This window comes from Homo sapiens, chromosome 22 (genome assembly GCF_000001405.40).
Source record: "Homo sapiens chromosome 22, GRCh38.p14 Primary Assembly".
Taxonomy (NCBI): domain Eukaryota; kingdom Metazoa; phylum Chordata; class Mammalia; order Primates; family Hominidae; genus Homo; species Homo sapiens.
Window position 1 is genome coordinate 38,777,870 of NC_000022.11, and position 22,912 is coordinate 38,800,781.

The 22,912-nt window shown below is 50.4% G+C and overlaps 1 protein-coding gene across 1 annotated transcript, besides 2 other annotated features; it reads right to left on the bottom strand.

Moving 5' to 3' along the window:
• Positions 639-16,274, bottom strand: DNAL4 (dynein axonemal light chain 4). Its single transcript, NM_005740.3, has 4 exons — positions 16,199-16,274; positions 4,794-5,001; positions 3,057-3,140; positions 639-1,744 (listed from the first exon to the last, which is right to left on the bottom strand). Exons 2-4 carry the CDS (start codon positions 4,860-4,862, stop codon positions 1,580-1,582), a joined length of 318 nt encoding a protein of 105 aa, NP_005731.1. The 5' UTR covers positions 4,863-5,001; positions 16,199-16,274; the 3' UTR covers positions 639-1,579.
• Positions 1,798-2,298: an enhancer, noted in NCBI's record as "H3K4me1 hESC enhancer chr22:39175672-39176172 (GRCh37/hg19 assembly coordinates)". NCBI's record gives its function as "activates a minimal SCP1, AML or CMV promoter by ChIP-STARR-seq in primed H9 embryonic stem cells {active_cell/tissue: H9 hESC(primed)}" and the evidence as "EXISTENCE:reporter gene assay evidence [ECO:0000049][PMID:30033119]".
• Positions 16,016-16,465: a silencer, noted in NCBI's record as "silent region_13732". NCBI's record gives its function as "represses an Ori minimal core promoter by ATAC-STARR-seq in GM12878 lymphoblastoid cells {active_cell/tissue: GM12878}" and the evidence as "EXISTENCE:reporter gene assay evidence [ECO:0000049][PMID:35858748]".

Here is a 22,912-nt window from a genome sequence, read left to right on the forward strand (position 1 = left end):
CTCCTGTCCTCAAGTCACTTCTCATCTCCTGCGTTTACCCCAAGTGCCTTGGGGTAATGTCTAGTTTTCTGTCCTGAGAGCAGCCCTCTCCCTTGGTAAGATCCCGTTTTCTGTTCAAGCGTCGGCTGTCAGGCCTTACCCCACTGGAGACCCTGTACTCCCCAGGCTGGGCTTGGAGTCCCTCCTTCCTCCTGCCAGAATGCCCCGCCCTATCTTACAATGTTACTTTTCGTATGAGTGAAATGATGGGGCCCATGTCCTCTGCAGTGGACCGAGAGCTCACTGAGGCCAGACCTATGGCTTGTCTTTGTATCCTCAGCTCCTGGGGCCTGACCCTCAGTGGCTATTGAATAAGCATCTGTTGAACTGAGTGAAATTCTGTGGGCCTGAAAACATCTTTACTGTAGCTTAGTCCAGCTGCCAAGCGTATCTCAGTGTCCGTGTGGCCCCATCCAGCTGCACTTGGCCCCCAACCTCAGTGACCTAATGGTGAGAGGGGCCAGGCCATGTCCACTGGGGCTATGCCTGGGCCAGGGGCTTCCAGCAGCCTCACAGTTTAACCAGAAACATCTCTAGGTGCCTGAGCCTGAGGATACTGATCACACCTTCCCCTAACATCAAGAGACTGTAGAATGAGGTCAGTTTTTGGTCATTTTAATTGTAAAAACCAAGACATTTATATAAATAAGACCGCTGTGTAAAATACGATTCACCCTTCTACTAAAACCCTTTTCCCACACTCGAAAAGAACATAGAAAACCCAGCAGAGAGCAGTACAAATCAGCATGCGGTCCCTGATGCGAAGTCGCGGGCAGGCCAGGGTTCCCTGCGGAAGCAGCCTCGTGGTGAGAGCACTCCTGCCCAGGTGTCCCACCAGAGGCTCGGTGACCCCTCGAGAAACTGCCAGGTAGCAGCTCCCACACACCAGCCCCTGGCTCTCAACTGTACGGGTCGAGGAGGGGACGGGAAAGGCTGCTTGGTCCCCACCAAGGCTGGGGGCTGGGGGGGCTGCTGGCCCAGTGAGATGCAGTGGTCTGTTCAGCCTGGGGTCAAGTTGGGGGAAGGGGTTTCTGAGGGGTCAGCACCTCCCCAGAGGACAAGGAGAGAAGCTGCCTGTGTCCCTTGAAAGAATCATCTCCTTCTTGGGGCCATTTTCATATGACCACTAATGACAAGGACGGCCGACACTTCCCGGCAGTACTGGGGATGGCAGGGCAGTGGGGCTCCCAGGATGCAAGGGGAAGGCAGCCCTGGAGAAAGGGGGACTGGCGTGTTCCTGTGCGGAAGATCTCATCTCCCACCTCCTCTACCCTGTCACACCGCCCCACCCCACGTCTCCCACACAGACCCATGCCCGCTGCCCCGTCCACACCCTGAGACTCCGAGGGAGACGGTTGAGAGCCTGGGGATGGAGATGTCAAGTTCACACACTGGGCGTGGCTCAGGAAACTGGTACACAAAGACAAAAAGAAAAGACCCCAACTCTCCTTGGAAAAACCAGGACCTGCCTAGGGCTGCTCCCCACCCCAGATGAGTGGCAGGAAAAGGCCCTGCAGGGGACGGGGCAGGGGACAGAGTGTCAGGAGCACTTCCAGACGCACACAGCCAGGGTGCCCCCGAAGTACAGGTAGAGGAGGTTCTTCACCTCGTGGGTGATCTCAAACCCAAAGCCCTCGCCGATCACCACGTGCCAGGAGGAGCCGAACTTCTTGTCCATTGTCTCTTTGATCATCTTGGCGGCGCTCTGGAAGGAAGAGGGCACTTATCAAGGGGGCGCAGGGCAGGTGGGGGCAGGAGTCAGGTCCTTCTCCAGGAAGGAGAAGGCTGGCACTGAGGTCTTGGCAAGAGAAAGGCCTGCTGTCCTATTTCTCTTGTCCTCCTGCTTCAAAAAGGGTTTCCACGCAGGCCACCTCCTGCCAGGTCTATTACACAGGCACAGAAAACTAGACATTACTCAGCAGTCAAGAAGAAACTGGCTGAGGCGGGAAGGCAAGCATCAGGTCTGGAGATAGCCTGGGGCTGCGTCCTGGCTCTGCACTTAGTGCGGGCTTCCTGGGCCAGTGCCACCTCCCTCAGATGTAACCTGGACAAGCGGGGCACCAGGCAGTCTCAGGACCAACTGGATGGAGAGACCTGGCACCCTGCAGACTGCGAGGTACCTGATGCGTTCAGTGGGCTCTGGGGAGGCGCCGACTACTCCCCTAGTCATGGCCACAGTCGACTTCTTCCTGTGCCTGCTCTTTCAAGACGTGCCCCCTGTGTGAGGAGGTCTAGAGGGGCAGGGACCCCCGCTCGGCAGGGCGAGTCCAGGTGCAGGCGCCTGAGGTACACCAACAGCGCCTCCCACCATGCCAGGTGCCATGCTGGGCACTCTGTCCCCATCGTCTCAGTAAATACATCCTCACAACTGGCCCAGTGAGGAGGCACCATCGCCACCCTCCATTTAAGGACTAGGAAACTGCGCTCAGAGTTGAGAAATGGCTCATTCAAGGGTACAGCTGGGAAGGGCTGAAGCCAGGATCTGAACCTGGGCCTGGCCGACCCAAAGCCTGGGCTCCCACTGGCCAGTGTCTTGCCTCCCCACCGGCTGCCGCAACACTGACTTCTCGCTCTCCCCACCAGATTGATGAATGGCCTTCCTGCGTTGATGCCTGCTGGCCGTATCCCCAACACCTAGAACAGCGCCTGTTCAACACCTTTTTGAATGGATGAGTGAATACATGAATGGATGCCTGGGCAGGCCTCTGTTCACCACTGGGATGGAACCACGGGGAAAGGCACCCTATTCAGCAGCCCACCTGAGGCAGGGAACATGGGCAGGGGCGTCATGGAGACCCCTGTGGCTTTGCTCCTCTAGGGCTGGGTGTGACCGTCAGTGCCTGGAGTCAGCGCCAGCCTCTCACTCACTGACTTTCCCCAGACTGAATGCTTCCAAGGAAGGCTCTGGCCTCATCCTAGCAGTACTGTCTGGAGCCAACTGCAGGGAACAGGGGCCACTTTATTCACCCACAGGGGCCATCAAAAGCACGAGGGGCCGCCTGCACTGCTGGCAATACCTCGTTGTTGTTGGAGAATTTCTCACAGGCTGTGACACATAGCTCCATGGTCTCCACGCGCATCTCCTCTGGCATGTCCGAGTGCTAGAGACAGGGCAGGGGTAACAAACAAGAGACAGGCTTAGCCCGTGACCTGGCCTTCCTGGCTGGCCTCTCTGTCCCAAGCTTAAGGCATGGACAGCAGGTAGCCTCCCTGGCCCAGCCCTGGGCAGGTGACCCATCTCCTGACTGAGGGCCTGCAGCTGGGGCAAAGGCATGGCATGGAGCTGAGCCTCGTGGGCTCTCAAGCCCAGGCTCTCTGCAAGGGCACGAAGCCAGCACCAGGTTCCAGCCAACAGACATGGGAAGAAAGCCGGCTGAGGGCGGAGGGAATGCTGGCTATGGAAGTGTGTTCCGACGGAATCTCACCCCGGAGGCCCGAAGAGGCCGCTGGGCGCTCTCTGGGGCCCCTGGTTTTCCTCCGGCCTTTCCCTCTGCTCCTTCTCCATCGATCTGCTGGATTTCCTTCCTCCTCCCAGCTCCTGGAGGGCCCTGGGCCCCACCTCCACTCTCCCATCTCCAGCGACTCCATCTCTGGGGTCTTGTGTGTTCCGCGCCTGTCTGTGTCCTCTCTGTGGGAGGGCTCCCACACTTCTACCCCCAGCTCTAACCTCTTCTTTGGGCTCCTGACTACTCTGTCAAACTGGCCACTTGACAGCCTCACTTAGATGTCTAAAAATAACTTGATTCCCACAAACCCATCTTCTTCCATCTCCTTTTCCTGGTAATTGATACCATTTTTTCTCCCAATACTCAGGAAAAGACAGACTGTAGCAGCCACCCTGGACTCTCTTGCTCCCATACCCAGTCTCCAATTTGGCAGCAGGTCCTTTGGCCTCTGCACTCACGGAACACCCTAAACCCGACCGCATCTCGCACTCTACTCCGTGAGCCGCACCCAGCCACCCTCATCGCTCTGGGCCTCCACAGCGGCCTCCTCGCTGGTCTCCCCACTTCTGCTCTGGTATCTCCAAATCCATTCTGCTCACAACAGCTGGAGTGAGCTTTTGAAAACCAAACAGATCTCATCACTCCCCTGCTTAAAACCCTTCAGTGTTCCCCCTTCGATTCAGGACAGAACCCACAGTTCTCACCACATTCTTCACTGTGGCTGGCCAGGCCTGTAGGGTCTGGCCCCACTGGTGCTGTTATGTCCTGCCACCCTTCTCAGCACTCCATTCCAGCCATGCTGGCCTTCTCTCTGTGCCTCCAAAATGCCAAGTTCATTCCCATCCCAGGCTTCCCGTGCCTCTGTTTCCCCGGCTTGGCATGTTCTTCCCCAGGTCTTTGTGAGGTTTGCTCTCTGTCTTCAGGTCTCTGATCTGCAAAACCTCTCCAGAAGCTAACCTCTGCTCTCCAGCTCCTTCCACCTGCTTCATTTTTCATTATAGTACTTACTGCCTACGATCATGTTCTTAAAACATGTATTTCATGTGGGCCAGGCCTTCGCCTGTCTCGTTTACCATCCCCACAGTGCCTAGAACAGTGCCCGGCATAGAGTAGGTGGCCCAATACTTGGTGAATGAATGAATGAATGAAACAATGAATCACTGTCAACTCCAAGATGTCTAGGTCTGAGCCAGCAGAGCCCTTCTTAACTTCCTCCCACTGCCATCCTGCAAGGGACAAGCTCCACCCACCTCTCTCCAGGCTGTGTGGGCCCTGCCGGCAGTCCTGCCTCCCTCCCCTGGGGCTTACCCTGACCAGAGGGAAGGTCTGCAGTCGCTTATAATCAGCCTCATCTTTCTTCCCTTCTGTTTCTCCCATGATCCTTCCACTGTGACCACTGGAGGAGAGTGGGGCTTTCAGGAGGTGCTGGGACTGGCAGTTAAGACACACCCAGGAGATTCAGGAAGCAGGCCCTGCCAACTCGGTGGGAGCAGAAAATGTCTTTCCCCGGGGGGTGCTGCAGAAAACAGGAGAAACCAGAAAAAAAGAGCTGGCTTCAAAACCATACATCGCAAATTAGAAATGTCTCAGTAACAATCTGACACCTCCCCATCTTAACTCCTCCGCACCCTTTTCCAAATGGCCAGCAAGTCTGCAGACGGCAGGATGAGTCAACACGAGATGCTGGGACCTGGTTAAGAACACACTGGTACGATGCCGCAAGCCCACACTGTCATTATCAAGACAAATACTGACTGTGGGCCAGGCCTGCAGGATGGAGGCTTGAGCTGGCAGTGAGCAAATGCAGTTTCCCCGCGTACCCACTACATACACGGTCCTTCCCTCCCACTACACACATGGGCCTTCCCTCCCACTACACACACGGGCCTTCCCTCCCACTACACACACGGGCCTTCCCTCCCACTACATACACGGGCCTTCCCTCCCACTACACACACGGGCCTTCCCTCCCACTACACACGCGGGCCTTCCCTCCCACTACATACGCGGGCCTTCCCTCCCACTGCATACACGGGCCTTCCCTCCCACTACACACACGGGCCTTCCCTCCTGCTACACACATGGGCCTTCCTTCCCAGAAGCTGTGCTTAGGAAGGGAAATGTTCAGGTCACCACTGACAGTCTGGGCTTATTGGCAAGCAAGGGGGCCCCTCTGCAGGCCCTGATCTTCAGGGGAATGGGCACGGTGCTGCTCTGTGCCCTCCCTGGCACACCAGGCTCCCTGGTTGTTCTTTCCTACTCCTTCTTGGACCACTGGGTCCTGTCCTGCTGGCCCAGCAGCTGGGAGGCTTGGGTGCTGCTGCTGGTTCAGTCAGTCACCAGCAGTATGGCCCTGGGCCCCAGACTCCTCACCAGTAATGTGGGTACAGTCACATCCATCTCATGCGGCCGTTATGAGAATTCAAAGAAACAGTGCCTGTAAAGCTAAGACAGTGCCAAGCACACGGCAGGCACTCAGTACATGGCTGTTCCCTAACCGACGGGGCTTCTACTAAAGAGACGGGCCTGGACCCGAGATGACTGGCAGCACTCCTGCCAATCCAGGCATTTCTCTTTCATCTTCAACCCAATTTATCTCATAATTCAAAGTTTTTTTTTTTTTTAATCTCAGAAGTACTGACATAAGCGGATACAAATCACCAGGTTGTTAAGCCCTTTTTAATGATTTATATTAGACAACTACAGCAAAATAATGTTATTCCAGCATTTCTCACATTTCCAAATAAATTTCCTTTCACTGCACAGTCATGGAACCCAAAGGTGCCGAGCACGGTAACTAACAGGCAGGTGATGACACGTGACGGCTGTCGGTTTCCTGCCTGTCGGTGTTTCACATGCATTTACACACCTTGTCATCGCAACAACCCCGGGAGTTCGGTTCTGTAGGGACAGAGGCATGAGGCTGGTCAGTCGCTGGCCTGAGGTCACTCAGCTCGTTAGCGACACAGCTAAGGTGTGAATCCAGGCCCGGCTGTCGGCATGGGCACTCCTGACCCCTTGTTCATACGCCTCCTCATGGGCACACAGGAGGCACTCACAAGCATACATCAGCTGCCCACTGGGACAGCTCCTATCATCCTAGAAGGGAGACGAATCAAATATTTGCTCTTCCCCTTTGCTGTCTCTTTCACTTTTTTTTTTTTTTTTTTTCTTGAGACGGAGTCTCACTCTGTCGCCCAGGCTGGAGTGCAGTGGCACGATGTCAGCTCACTGCAAGCTCCGCTTCCCAGGTTCATGCCATTCTCCCGCCTCAGCCTCCCAAGTAGCTGGGACTACAGGCGCCCACCACCACGCCCGGCTAATTTTTTTCTGTATTTTTAGTAGAGATGGGGTTTCACCGTGTTAGCCAGGATGGTCTCGATCTCCTGACCTCGTGATCCGCCCACCTCAGCCTCCGAAAGTGCTGGGATTACAGGCGTGAGCTACCGCGCCCAGCCTGCTGGCTCTTTTTCTAATGTTAACTTGACCCTGGTTTGGCCCAGCCTTGAGCTTTCTGGGCACTCTTTCTGGGCTGTGCTCTTGATTTGATCCCCGCTCCAATGACTCGGTGCCACTCCATTTGGTCGGCTCCCTCGCATGAGGCTGGAAGCCTGGCACAGACCCCCCCCCCCATCCAATGACATTGGTATTTTCTGATTTCCCAGTGGACAGATGGCTCCACTTATCTCATCAATTCTGGGCATTTGTACCACTCAGATGTTAGCAGTTTTTGTTTGTCTCTCTCTACAAGCTGGTGAATTACCAAGCACAATTTCATTGTACTTTCTGGTCAGGTTCCTTATTTCACAAAATTCAGGGAATCATTTTGTCTTTGCTCATGAATGTGAAGGCGTATTTCCAATTCCAGGCTGTCCTCCTAGCCTTACTGCTTCCTCCTCTACCTTTGTCCAGGTGTGACAGAGGTGGCGGCTACACTGATGACAGAAGGAAAAGGGCACACAGTTTGTTTATCTCTGAGAATTTCAAGGGGGAACAATGAAAAATGTGGAAGCAGCTTCTTAGGCATCTTCCACTGAGATGTTTCCATTTGATTCAATTCATCCCGGAGGCTAAAAAGTGCTGGCATGTAGGAGCCAGGAGGGAACCAGGAGCCAGTTGTGGACATGCCACCCTCCAGGAGGTCAGGGTCTGTGACAGCTGCTCTAACATGCAGAATCCTGCTGAGATGTCCCATGACTTCAGAGGTATGACCAAGGCCCATTTCTCAGGAACAACGGGGAAAAGCCAGTGGGAGAGTGACCTGTGCAGCATCTTGCAGAGCTAAGAACTGTGTGGGCCGCAAGCCGGAGTGTGCAGGCATGGAGACCAGCTCTGTCAAAGACGAGCATTCTGCTCACTTCCTTTCTTTGCAGCCGTCAGCAAGTAATTTCACCTAAGCCTTGGTTTCCTTCTCTATGAAACGGGATACTAAATCCTATCTCTGCGTTCTCAGGAAGCTGTTGCAAGCCCCAGGTATGTGTATGTGAGCGATTTGAAACGTTAAAGCTCTCTGCGCTGTTATCACAGTGCTCTCTGCTACCAGCGTTAATCAGCCAGGACTTGGTCACCATGATTCAGCCAAGTTTACTAAGGGCCCTGACTACAAAGAGCTTTTTCTAACCACTACACATACTTCTGGGGACCTAAAAGAGATGAGACAGAATAAAAAGGAATCGTTATAGATGATGTGTTTCCAAATACAGAAAGGCAGGAGAATTTTTTATGACGCTGTATCATTATAGTACAGCTAGAGTCATTCAGCCACAGTCCTAAAACTCTCCTCAAAGAATGTTACCAAAAATAGCAGAACCAGAGGTTCTAACAACCTTATCAATCTTCCATGCAGAGAAGCATGTGCCTGAACTCTTGGAGCCAGAAAGAGTCATGTCAGGTCTAAAAGAGCCTTTTAATAATATAATTGTGGCTGGGTGCAGTGGCTCACGCCTGTAATCCCAGCACTTTGGGAGGCCGAGGTGGGTGGATCACTTGAGGTCAGAAGTTCGAGACCAGCCTGGCCAACAGGGTAAAACCCTGTCTCTACTAAAAATATAAAAATTAGCCGGATGTGGTGGTACATGCCTGTAATCCCAGCTACTGGGGAGGCTGAGGCAGGAGAATGGCTTGAACCCGGGAGACAGAGATTGCGGTGAGCCAAGATCACACCATTGCACTCCAGCCTGGGCGAAGAAGTGAGACTCAGTCTCAAAACAAAACAAAACAAAACAAAACAAAAACAAAACTGTGCCCACCGCCAGGGTACTTGAATCTCCTGGGTACAGAAGCTCGACTCCAGCCCATCTGGCCCACAGTGGTGCAAAGCCAGGGGCAGCCTTATTCCCTCTCCCACTACCCCTGCTCTCCTCCTCACTCAAGGGCCATCTGTGGGCTTTACATATCCTCACCCCCTCTGATGTGAGGCTCTTCCTAAGCAACAGTGGGCACAGACAAGGGCCCTTTATCTCATTGCCTGGTCAAGGCCAGTGTTCCTGGTCCTGCTATCCCTTGTTCTTTTGTGGCACTGACCTCAGTCACCATTCACTATTCTGTGTCTGAAGCGTCTGGGAAGAATCCTAAAGAGGGTTAGGGTGTGTGGGAGGGACTGGGAAAAATGAATGCGTTCTGGGAAATAAGGCCCAAAATATCTGCCAGCCCCCTGGGAGGGGGGCAGCCATTCAATGTCTGGAACATCCGCGGCCCTTAGATCACGGCTCGCCTCCCTGTACCACCCACCATGCACCTGAGAGATTGCAGGACACACCTGGAGCATGTCATGGTGGTTCTGAGTACAGACTCCACCGTCGGATCTGAATTCACATCTTGGTTCTGTTTTAGACAAGGGCTTACCTCCCTAAGCCTCAGTTTTCTTTTCTTTTCTTTCTTTCTTTCTTTCTTTTTTTTTTTTTTGAGACAGCGTTTTGCTCTTGTTGCACAGGCTGGAGTGTAGTGACGCGATCTCGGCTCACTGCAACCTCCGCCTCCCGGGTTCAAGCAATTCTTCTGACTCAGCCTCCCAAGTAGCTGGGATTACAGGTACGCGCCACCACGCCTGGCTAATTTTTGTATTTTTAGTAGAGATGGGGTTTCACCATGTTGGCCAGGCTGGTCTCGAACTCCTGACCTCAGGTGATCCACCTGCCTCAGCCTCCCAAAGCGCTAGGATTACAGGCGTGGGCCACTGCACCTGGCAGCCTCAGTTTTCTCATCTGGAAATTGGGGCTAAGGACTCAGCTCCTGTTACTGGTGCAGTAGGAAGGAAACTGCGATATCCTTCTTCATAGACCAACCTGCTACACATCTAAACGTGCAGCCAAACAAACCACTATCTCCCAAGTTCCCACTATGTGCAAACCACTGTGGTAGTAATGAAGGAGGAAAGAGTCACAAGGAAATTCTGTGAAACCTCTTGGGGCTGAGGTGGTAGTGGTGTGGCTATGGTGTGCCTTCACATCCACCATCTCATTTCATCCTCCTAACACCTGTGAGGGAAGGATCCAGCTCCCTATTCTCAGACAAGTCACTGGAGCTCAGAGAGGTTTTATGGGTGGCCTGAGGGTGCACAGCCGGCAATGGTAGAACCAGGATCGGAACCCCAATCCATCCTTCTGACTCGACCTTCTGTGCTTTCTCCTTTGGCACAAGCAAGTAGGAGACAAGCCAGTAACACAGATGACTTCGATACTCAGCATCCACCCATCCAGCCTCTGTCCAGGCCTGCCTCTTGCTTCCCGCCACATTGGGGACACAGGCGGGCACTCCAGTCTTCCTTGGCCTTCTAGCGAACAAATGAAGAACAAAGCTGACAGGGGAGGAAAAAGGATCCTAAGGACTTGGGCATTCGTCCAAGACGCTCGTAGTAAGGTCAGGAAATGATGCAGAAGCCAGGCTCCCAGACCAGTTTAAAGTGTGGGCAGACGCAGGGCTGCCATTTTAAAATTCTGCTGCAAAAGGGCCTTAGAAGATACATCATCTACTACAAAAGAGGAAAATTTGGCAGAATAAAGATCAGCCCTCCTCAAGAAAAGTCAAACACACGAAGTTGTTTTTACGTGGTCCTTATTTTTTCTCATTTTGCTGCGGTCCAATGAAAACTTAATGTGCCTGGGACTGAGGGAGGAGTGGAGGGAAGGAGAGGAGGGAGGGAGAGAAGAGAGGCCTGCTGTCTGGATCTGCAATTCTCAACATTTCCTCATGTCCGACACCATGTGATAAGTGACATTGACTCACACATGCACCCTCAAGGACTTAGCCAGACTTGGATGAAATCCCAGACAGTTTTGTCAAGATACAAAGTATAAGGAAAGTCACAACCATCACAGCTATTAGCTCCCGGAGAACAGCTGCTCGCCACACACAGCAGGGCAGGCTCCCGCCCCGCTCTCTCCCACTCAAGAGAACAGATTTGAATCTAAGGGAGTAAGAGTGACATTATCACAGAAATAAATTGGACTTAGCATGGATTTATTTTTTAGAAACTCATTCACAATTGCTAATTACCAGTGACATCTCACAACCGATCACGACTTAACTGTGCCCGTGAGTCCAGATTCCCTGGGGCTGAGGAACTTGATTTGGCTCTAGATGCCCCAGAGCACAAAGGCCAGTGTCTGGCACACGGCAGAAGCCCAGAAATTATCCAAATTGCAATTAACTTATATTTCATTTGCCCCATGGGAGGGGAGAGGACCTATCACATCCATTCAAGACTATTTATTGAACACTGATCCTGAGCCAGGCACCAGAATGGGCGATCTACATACAGGATGTCCCTCCCCCAGTCACTCTGTCAGACAGGTACTACTAGCCCTACGTTACTGGTATAGCCACACAGCCTGAAAAAAAGAGAGTTTCCACCTAGTTAATAAACAAAGGGGCTAGGATTTGATTGCAGGTATATATGACTTCAAAGATTATGCTTTTTCTTTTCTTTTCGAGACAGGGTCTCACTCTGTTGCCCAGGCTGGAGTGCGGTGGCATGATCACAGCTTACCGCAGCCTCAACTTCCCAGGCTCAGATGATCCTCCTGAGTAGCTCATGCTACCACACTCAGTGGTGGCACACTACAGGCTTGTGCCACCATACTCGGCTAATTTTTTTATTTTTTGGAGAGACGGGGTTTTGCCATGTTGCCCAGGCTGGTCTCAAACACCTGAGCTCAAGCAATTTGCCCACCTCAGCCTCCCAAAGTGCTGGGATTATAAGCGTGAGTCACCATGCCTGGCCTGATTATGCTTTTTCAACTACTCGACTATAATCATCAGACAGTCCCTGCCTTTAAGGAGCTTACAATCTAATATGGAGACCAACAGGCATACACAAGGAACTAACTATGGTTCCTGGCAGCCTGGCAGAAAGTAGTGCCACAAGACAGGCATACTTGCAGTGGTGAGGAGGGTGAGATAAGACAGCAAAAGGAGCTTGCTGGCAGGGGCAGCATTTGAGTCAGGCCTGGAAAGGTGAGGAAGAATTGCAACAGGTGGACGAGGTGAGGAAGACCTTCCAGGCGGATGAACACAACAGTGCCAAGGCAGAAAGTACAAAGCATCTTCTGGGAAAGTCTAACAGTCCGATTTGGCTAGAAGATAGAATTTGGCAAAGAAGGGAGAAATAAATCTGGGGAAAAAGACTGGGGTTGGGCTGTGGACGTGTAGATGGGTCCTGAAACCTATGCTTACATATTTTTGTAGACATGGGGTCTCTATGTTGCCCAGGCTGGTCTTGAACTCCTGGACTCAAGTGATGCTCCCACTTCAGCCTCTCAAAAGTGTTGGGATTACAAGTGTGAGCCACCATGCCTGGCAAGATGTGTGGATCTTTTTCATAGTGAATGGGAAGCCCTTTGGAGGTCTCTAGGTGGCTGGTGACATGGGTGGGCTGGGTTGACAGGAGCAGAGACCGGAGGTAGGAGCAGTCGCTAGGAAGCTGCAGTAATGGTCCAGGGGTATTAATGTCACAGGCATGAAATACTTGAAGGAGAGTGGTGGCTTCAGGAATGGAGACGATGTGAGCTCTGCATGCAGCAGAATCAAAACAACCTGACAACTGCCCAAATGGAATGAGCATGGTGGAGTGAGGAATGATGCCCAGGAGGATGGTGATGCCACTGATGGGGAGAGGGGAAACCAGGTGGCACAGCTGGGTAGAGAAGCAGGTCAGTTTCATTTCAGAGCTGCAAAGTTTAAGTTGCTGGTAAGATACGCAGATGGAGGTATCTAGTCAGGAGAAAGAAATCACCAAGTCATGGGCTATCGGGGCAGGAGGGAAGCCATCAAGTCCAACTATCGCATCAACACAGTCATGCGTTGCTTAATGACAGGGGCATGTTCTGAGAATCGTTAGGCGATTTTGTTGTGTGAATGTCATAGAGTGTACTTACACAAACCTAGATGATGTAGCCTACTACAGACCTAGGCTATATGGTACGGCCTATTTCTCCAAGGCTACAAACTTGTATAGCATGTTACTGTACTAAATACTGTAGGCAACTGTAATGCAATGGTGTTTGTGTATCTAAACATAGAAAAAGTACAGTTGGCCGGGTGCGGTGGCTCACGCTTGTAATCCCAGCACTTTGGGAGGCTGAGGTAGGTGGATCACTTGAAGTCAGGAGTTCGAGACCAGCCTGGCCAACATGGCAAAACCTCGTCTCTACTAAAAATACAAAAATTAGCTGGTGTTGTGGCGCGCGCCTGTAATCCCAGCTACTCAGGAGGCTGAAGCAGGAGAATCTCTTGAACCTGGGAGGCGGAGGTTGCAGTGAGCAGAAATCACACCACTGCACTCCAGCCTGGGCAGCAGAGCGAGTCTCCACCTCTAGAAAAAAAAAAAAAAGGACAGTAAAAATATGCTATAAAAGATAAAAAATCATACACCTATATAGGTCACTTCCCATGAATGAAGCGTACAGGACAGGAAGTTGCTCTGGGAGAATCAGTGAATGAGTGGTGAAGGCCCAGGACATTACTGGACACCACTATAACTTTATTTTACTTTTTAATTTTTATTTTATTTTATTTTTTGAGATGAATCTTGCTCTTGTTCCCCAGGCTGGAGTGCAAAGCCGTGATCTCGGCTCACTGCAACCTCCGCCGCCTGGGTTCAAGCGATTCTCCTGCCTCAGCCTCCTGAGTAGCTGGGATTACAGGCACGTGCCACCAAGCCGGGCTTATTTTTGTATTTTTATATTTTGTATTTTTAGTATTTTGTATTTTGTATTTTTAGTAGAGATGGGGTTTCTCCATGTTGATCAGGCTGGTCTCAAACTCCTGACCTCAGGTGATCTGCCCGCCTCAGCCTCCCAAAGTGCTGGGATTACAGGTGTGAGCCACTGCGCCCAGCCTATTTATTTTTATTTTTTAGATGGAGTCTCACTCTGTTGCCCAGGCTGGAGTGCAGTAGTGTGATCTCAGCTCAATGCAACATCCACCATCCGGGTTCAAATGATTCTTCTGCCTCAGCCTCCCAAGTAGCTGGGATTACAGGCGCCTGCCACCATGCCTGGCTAATTTTTGTGTGTTGTTTTTTTTTTTTTGAGTACAGATGGGGTTTCACCATGTTGGGCAGGCTGGTCTCCATCGCCTGACCTCAAGTGATCCCTCTGCCTTGGCCTCCCAAAGTGCTGGCATTACAGGTGTGAGCCACCATGCCTGGCCACTACTGTAACTTTATTTATAAACACCGTAAAAAATTTACGTAAATTTAGGCTGCACTAAATTTATAGAAAATATTTTTCTTTCTTCCATAATAAGTTAACCTTAGCTTACTGTAACTTTTTACTTTGTAAAAGTTTTGATTTTGTTAACTTTTTGACTCTTTCGTAGTAACACTTAGCTTAAAACACAAACACATTGTACAGCTATACAAAAATATTTTCTTTCTTTATATCTTTATTCTATAAGCTTTTTTCTACTTATAAATTTTCTATTTCTTTTTTACTTTTTTTTTTTTGAGACAAAGTTTTACTCTTGTTGCCCAGGCTTGAGCGCAATGGCGCTATCTCGGCGCACTGAAACCTCCACCTCCCGGGTTCACGCCATTCTCCTGTCTCAGCCTCCTGAGTAGCTGGGATTACAGGTGCCCGCTACCACGTCTGGCTAATTTTTTGTATTTTTAGTAGGGACAGGTTTTACCATGTTGGCCAGGCTAGTCTCAAACTCTTGACCTCAGGTGATCTGCCTGTGTCGGCCTCCCGAAGTGCTGGGATTAATAGGCGTGAGCCACCGCTCCTGGCCTTTATTTTTTATTTTTAACATTTTTAACTTTTTTGTTAAAACTCAGACACAGATACACTAGCCTAAGCCTACACAGGGTCAGGATGCTTAGTGTCACTATCTTCCACTACCACATCTTGTCCCGCTGGACGGTCTTCAGGGCAATAACACGCATGGAGCTGTCATCTCCTATGATAACAAAGCCTTTTGCTTGAATACCTCCTGAAGGACCTATCTAAGACTGTTTACGGTTAAATTTTATTTTCTTATAAGTAGGAGGAGTGTACACTGTAAAATAACAATAAAAGTGTAGGATAGTAAACACATAAACAAGTAACAGTCATTTATTACCATTATCAAGTATGATGTCCTGTACACAATTGTATGTGCTATATTTTATATGACTGGCAGCACTGTAGGTTTGCTTACACCAGCATCACCACACACGTGAGTCATGCATTTTGCTTTGACATTACGATAGCTATGTAACTAGGTGATAGAAATTTGTCAGCTCCATTATAACCTTAGGGCACCACCGTGGTATCTGTGGTCTTTCTTGACCAAAACGTTGTTATATGGTACATGACTGTATTTCAATCTCCATCTGTCCCCTCCCCACCCCTAAGTAACCCTAACCATGGAAGCCCAGGAGGAAGATCAGAGAGGGTCAACTGGAGAAATGACAGTTCATGCTGACCGGGTTGATAACATTTCCCAGAGAGGGAAAATGTGGTGAAGAGACAAAGGAAAGAAACTAACAAATACTGAATCTATACTGGACTGGACTCTGTACTTCATATTAGCCTCAGAATTACCAAAGGAGATGCACCGACGTATACTGATTTTACATATGCACTGATTAAAAGCGCAGGGAGGGTAGGTCTTGAGACTGGGAATCCAAATTAGGTTTGCCAAGTTATTTTCACAATACACGATACCTCCCATTGGGGAGCACATCCTCTCGGAAGCCTAAAGTTGGGTCAAAGAACAACGACATCCTAGAACGTCAGAGTGGAAGAGGCCTTAGAGATCACTCAACTCAACTTCTCATTTACAGATGGGGAAACTGAGGCCCAAACAGGGGAAATGACCAGCCCAGAATCCCAGTAAGTCGCCAACTCTCCAAGCCAAGAGCGGTCTGACCTAGTTGATGGCGACCCCGCGGGAGAGGGAATTACTCCGCGAAAGGTCGAGGGATCAAGGTGCTGGGGGAAGTCGGCTAAAGGGGGACGCGGGACCACGAAGCTGGGCAGGCCTTGGGTGGGTGGGGAAGAGCAGCCGGCAGAGTCGCGATGGCAAACCTGTCACGACAGAGCTCGCAGGTCCCGAAGTGGGGGTGAGGGTGGGGGTTGAGGATGGGAAGACCTGGGGCAGGGGAACAGCAGGCAGGAGACCGAGGTGGGGCCTCGGCGGCGGGCGAGGCCTCTTCCGCCCTGCGTTGCCTCCCGCCCTCCCTCCGGGCCGGCCCTCCCCGCCTGGCTGCCCGCCGCGCCCCGGGGCCTCACCTGCTCCTGCGGGGGCCGGAGCCGGGGCCGCAGCCAGCGAACCCCCGCCAGGGTTGTCAAGGAGCGAAACAAGAGTGTCTTAGCAACCAGCAAGGAAGTCCTGCCCCCTCACCGGACGTTGACGAGAATTTCACTTATTATTGGTGGATAAAAGTATCAATCAGAGTGAAAGGCCCTTATAAGTCAGGCGTTTGCAAGGACAGGGGCGTGGTTTAGAGGCCAGGGAGGCGGGACTTCACTTATAGTTGTCTTAAGCGTGCCCGAGGAGCAGGGGACACATTGAAGTTCTTTTTCTAGGGAAACAAACTTCGAAAAGCAGTACTGCCTTGGGAGGTTCTTTTAGTCACTTGAAATAACAAATGCAACTTGTTGGTGTCGTGACACTTAGCCACTACTTTATTGGGATCTGAAAAGCCTGATAATAACTAGCATTTTTGTAGGGCTGTACAATTAATATCTCACTTGATTCTCATTACAGTACTTTTAGGTGATAATATTCGTCATCCCATCTGAACTAAAGTTCAGAGAGGTTAAGTAACTTGGTAAAGGATGGAGGTAATCTCCCTGGAGAAGGAACCCAGGGGCTCCTTCCTCTGTGCCACACCCTTGTATGGTCACCTAGCTCTAGTCACTAGGAGACATTTGTACCACCTAATTTCAGACACAGTTGCCCAGAGCCTGCCTTTTCTTCCCCTTGGGAGGGAAAATTAATCCGAAAGTACGGAGAAGGAAAAGGGGAAAGGGGAAGAACTGGCGGATTCTATTATTTGATTGGTAGATCAAAGGGTCAGTTGGGTACTTCGTAGTTTAAACCTTTATTATTGTGATGAGTACTTGGGGTGAAACCCCACTGCCACATTTACTAGCATTGAAGCTGTCTTTGCCAAAATTATAACTGAGGAAATTATGACAGTGAAAGAGATCAGACCTAACCCACTCCATCTTGCCTTTCTAGCCTTTAAGCTGTCTTTGTTCATTCCTAGGCATAGGCTGAACGAACCTTGGGAAGGAATTTAGTTTATAGTTTTACTCTGAAACAAAATTGACAATAGCCCTTTCCCAAAAAGGCTCCCTTCCTGCCTTGGGACCAGTCTGCCTTTGTAGGACTAACAAATTAGCTACAACATTAGAAATTATGGTTTAGGGGTCACACAGCAGCCTCTGGCTGCAAGAGTCTGAACCTTCCCAAATTGCTCCTGGGGATAACATCACTATTGTAAAACCTAAGATCAGCGCTTGAGATATTTTGCAGACCCTGCGCTCGATGGATCAGCTGACACCACCCAGACCAGTAATGTGGCTCAAACAGTTCTGTGATCCCACCCAGGAACAGAAGACAGCAAGAAAACCTCACTTCGACCCCCTCAGTATTCCATCTTCGACTTAATCAATCAACACTCCTCGCTTGCCAAGCCCCTACCCACAAAATTATCTTTAAAACCTCTGATCCCTGAATGCTTGGGTAGCATATTCAACTGCCTCCTAGCCATGTGCACCAGAATGTTCCACAAGCCCTTCAAACTCAGTGTGTCCCAAACTGAATTGATCATCTCCCTCCAATCTGCTCTTCCTGCATTCCCCATTCCAGTAAATGGCACCACCCCCGACCCAGTTGCCTCCATCAGAAAACAGGGGGGAGTCCTTCACCCTTCCCACTACAACAGCCCACTTCCAGTCACAAGCATGCCAATTTCGACTCCTCACTATTTCCTGATACAGCCTTTCTGGCCACGTTCATGGCACCCTCCATGTGCACAACACCACAATCCCATCTACCTGAGTGCAATCTCCTGGTGGGACTCCCTGGCTGCAGTCTTGCACCTCTCTAATTTATCCTCTGTACCATAGTCAACATGACCCTGCCAAAACCCAAATCTCACCGCTGCATTCCTCTGTTTGAGTAATTTGAGTAATAATAAAACTCCCCTCTCCCGCACAGCTGGCTCTGTTTGAATTACCTTTCTCCATTGCAATCCCCCTGTCTTGATACATCGGCTCTGTCTAGGCAGTGGGCAAGGTGAACCCATTGGGCAGTTACAGCATCTACTGGGAGCTCAGCCCTCGTCAGGTGCTAGTGATTCAGAGAGGAGTAAGATGAGGACCTTGATCCCATGGAAGGCACAGTCCAGTGAACAGACAGCCATGTGAACAAATAGATATAGAATAATTCATTCTACCAATGCTATGGTAGAGGTGTGGGCAAGATTCTGGCTCTTTCCAAGGAGGGAGTAACTAACTCTCAGAGTGTGGTACTTGAGTTGGCCGAGTCCAGGATGACCCCGGGGGGCTAATTGAGGGTGGGACAGCATGCTTCACTGGGGAACTGTGGGTGGCTTCGTAAGGTCTGGGTGGAGGGCGAATGTAGGTGTAGGTGGGAGGTGATAGGGGTGAAGATGCTAAGGGAAGTAGGGAAGTAGTGAGAAGGGTTTTGAATGCCAAGTTCAGGGACTTGAGTGCTCCCTGGGATGAGGTAAGAATAGGCACGGTAGCTGTTGGAGGGTTTCAAGATGTGGTCACATTTGTGTTGTGGAAAGATCACTCTGGTGGTGAAGACGGTGAATTGGATTTCGAGTGGGTAGACAGGAGGCAGGCACAGTGGGTTTGGTTCTGAGAGTTGGCAGCTTGAAGGGTGCTAGGTCCTTGCTGGTTCTTAAGATGCCTCCCTGGTGCGTTCTGATGGTCCGTGGAATGTCTGACTCAGCCTCCAGATTTCCTTAATCCTCTTTGCCAACTTTCTCTAGGAGACGGAAGGTAGCCTTTGAGGGGGAGGATGCTCTTGCCTACGTCTTTCATCCAAATTTCTCCCAAAAGGGGTCCACAGTTGCTGTCTTCTCTTTCTCACCTCCCATTCACTCTTCAGCCCACTGCAATCTGGCTTCCACTCCCACGACACCACTGAAATTTCCTCCTCCATGGTTACCAATGACCTCCTGAAGAGCGGAATCCAATAGACCCTTCAGTCTTTAACTTACTGGACCCAGCCCCACTTCTGGCGTGAGCCTGTTGACCATGCCCATCTAAATGAACTTCTGTACCCCATTGGTGGCACCTGGAGAACTCTTTACCATATAGATTCTAGGGCCCTACTGCTCCAGGATGGTGAAAGGCAGGAATGTGTATTTCTCATCAGCACCCATGGTGCACAGTAGAGAATCACTTCTCTATCCCAACACCCAGGGAACCTCACTCTCCTGCATGTCCTCAAACCTCTCCTCCTTTTCGGCCTCCTTCTTGGACTCTTCTTTCTTTTTCTTTTTCTTTTTTTTTTTTTTTTTTTTTGAGATGGAGTCTCGCTCTGTCACCCAGGCTGGAGTGCAGGGGCACAATCTCGCAATCTCGGTTCACTGAAAGCTCTGCCTCCTGGGCTCATGCCATTCTCCTGTCTCAGCCTCCTGTAGCTGGGACTACAGGCGCCCGCCACCATGCCCAGCTAATTTTTTTTTTTTTTTGTATTTTTAGTAGAGACGGAGTTTCACCGTGTTAGCCAGGATGGTCTCAATCTCCTGACCTCATGATCCGCCTGCCTCGGCCTCCCAAAGTGCTGGGATTACAGGCATGAGTCACCGAACCTAGCCTTGGACTTTTCATTCTTTGCTCTCTGTGCCTATCTTGACCCCCTTTTCTTCTCACTAATGCTCTCAAAATTCTTTGTACCTGAGGTCACCTCCTCATCAGTAACAGTGTTCCCCTGAGTCACATTCCCTGGGGTATTTACTGGAATTGAGGGTAGGGTATGCACTTTTGGAAAAGCCTCCCTGGTGATCCTGAACACTGTCCCAGGGAGCTATGCCACCCTATGCATATCTTGTTGAGGATTGCTACCTTAGGTACTTTCCCCTGGGGGTCTCCTCCACTCCCAAGGTTTCCATTGTCAATGTCCTTCTAAATTCTGATGCCTCCTGTATTTCTTTTTCTATATTAGACCTCTCTCTGGAGCTCTGGACCCAAATATTCAACTGCCTCCTGGCCACGTCCACCAGAATGCTCCACAAGTCCTTCAAACTCAGTGTGTCCCAAACTGAATTGATCATCTCCCTCCAATCTGCTCTTCCTGCATTCCCCATCTCAGTAAATGGTGCTACCCCCTACCCCCCACCAGTTGCCTCCATCAGAAACCAGGGAGTCGTCCTTCACACTTCCCACTACCATCGTCCACTTCCAGTCAATCAAAAGCATGCCAATTTTGACTCCTAACTGTTTCCTGATACAGCCTTTCTGGTCATGTTCATGGTATCCTCCATGTGCACCACACCACAGTCCCATCTCCATGAGTGCAACAATCTCCTAGTGGGACTCCCTGGCTGCAGTCTTGCCCCTCTCTAATTTATCCTCTGTACCACAGTCAACATGACCCTGCCAAAACCCAAATCTCACCGCCGCATTCCTCCGTCCGATAACTTCTTCTCTCCTTCCATGGCTTCCCATTGCCTAAGGGTGACATTCACCTGCCCTGTCCTGGCATTTAAGCCTCCCCATGGCGTGGCCCCGGGCTCCCCCATCTTCTTCTTGCTGCTCCATCCCCTGTGCTTTACGCCTCCACTACACCAACTCTCATGGCTCTCCACACACGCCAAGCTGTTTTTCACCTCCCTGCCTTTGTTCACAAATTCTCTCTGCCCACATCCTCCCTGTGCTCCTCCCTCCCTCCTTTTGGTTCTATGAGCCCATAAGGTTTTGGCCTAAGCTTGTATACTTTGGGATCTCATCTCTTGCAGTCAGAAGAGTCTTTTGTGTTCCTGTCTCATCTGGTGCATGTTCCTGTCACTGCCCTTCGTCACCATTTTGTACTTGAGTTTCATTCTCTGTCTCCCTTTGTGAGCTCCTGGAGAGCAAGGGCCTTGCCCTCTTCATCTTTGCATCCCATGTACCACACAGGACCTAACCAAGAGTTGGTGCCCAGTCAATGCTTCGTGAATAAGTGTGTGAATGAATGACTGAGGTGCAGAGGGTCAGACTCTACTGCTCCCAGACTCAGCTCTTGTCAATTCCAAGACTCAGCCTAGTACCAGCTACACCCTTTCTTGGGCTGCTCTTGCTGTTTAAAGTGGCTGATGGTGGACACCCAGGAATCAGCAATTGGATCAGTTGCAAGTAACAGAGATTGGAAAAATAGTGGCTTAAACAATGCAAAGTGTTTGTTTTTCTCATGTAACAAGAAGTAATTCAGGGCTACCAGGCATGGGTCTCCATGGTCTCATCAAGGACCCAGCTGAGCCAGCACAAGATCCACACCCCCATACCTCCAGCATCTCACTTGCACCCAGGTAGTAAAAGGGGGAAGGACAAAGGACAAACTAATGATTGCTAACTGGGTCAGTGCCCTTAAATGACACTTCCTCTAGCATCTCATTGGTCAGAATGATGTCACATGATGATCTTAGCTGCAAGGGAGGCTGGAGAATATATTTTAGCAGGGCCTATTGCAGCCTCCAATAGAATTGTGGTTCTGTTTGTAAGGAAGCAGGGAAATGTAGACACTGAGTCTGCCTACCCACCCAGTTGCCATCTTCCCAGCCTTCTTTGCTGTGAGAGTTGCTATTGAGTATGGGTACTGAGTAGCACATACTCAGGGAAGTTGGGTCCAGTCCCAAAGGATGAGTCCTGTCTAGTTTAAACCAGTCATGGTACTCCCATTTCCGCCCGAGATGGGTTTGGGGTGAGCATGTGACCTACTTCTGGATAATGAGACATAATTGCCTTCTGAGGGCTTTCCAGAGAGTTTTCCTCCCTCATAAAGAAACAGATGTGATGAGGTAATCACCTCCCTTTTTTCCTGTCTTGAACACAGTTGGGCGATGACGTGATCCTGAAATAGCCTTGGTAAGCTACATCCATGAGTGGTCAGGGCTACAGGAAGCCAAATGCGGAGGATGGTGGAGCAGGGAGATGGGAGATTCTGGCTTCATCGAGTCTTTGAGTGGCTGAGTTGACCAATCTTGAAATTGCCTACCTCCAGGCTTCTTGTATAAGCCACATTTTAACCATATGTTCTGCTACTTGCAGCTGAAAATACCTGATATTTGTGATTTGTCTGTCTAGCATCCTTCCCTTTGGGAAACAGCACCCTTTCTTTTTTGGGGGAACTCCTATCCTCACTCAACCCTGTGGTTCTAGTTGGGGATGGTATTCATTGTACCTCATCCTCCCTGGGGAAGGATTCCTGATCCAAGCTGAAGCAGTCATAATCCTTCCCTGAGATTGTTTTTTTAAACTAAGCATAGACTTGAGCATGCTAAGGAGCCTCTTAGAGCAAGCCAACCTGGAGGAATACAGACACTCAGAAGGCATGAGGGACAGGGAACCAAAGAGCCTTGCTGGAGGTCCAGTTGTCCTTGAGGCCAGCTGTTCCCATAGGTTGATTATGAGAGTTCATAGATGCCCCACTTTTTGCCTACACTGGTTCAGGTTGAATTTCTGTTACTTCTGACACACATGGGGCCTGAACCTCCTTCTTCCCCTACCTAAGTCCTTCCCATCCTTCACATTTCCACTTGGTTGCCTTTTTATAGCCAATTCTTTGCTGGAGTTAGCTGCTGAGGACATAGGGATTATTGAGACTCAGTCCTCACAACCCAATGGAAAGACAGATATAGACAGTCACAATCCTGGGGGGGCAAGTACTACAAGACACAGAAAACCTCAGGCCAAGGTGACTGATTTATTTTTGTAACCTGATGTGGTTTGGATTTGTGTCCCTGCCCTAATTTCAAGTCA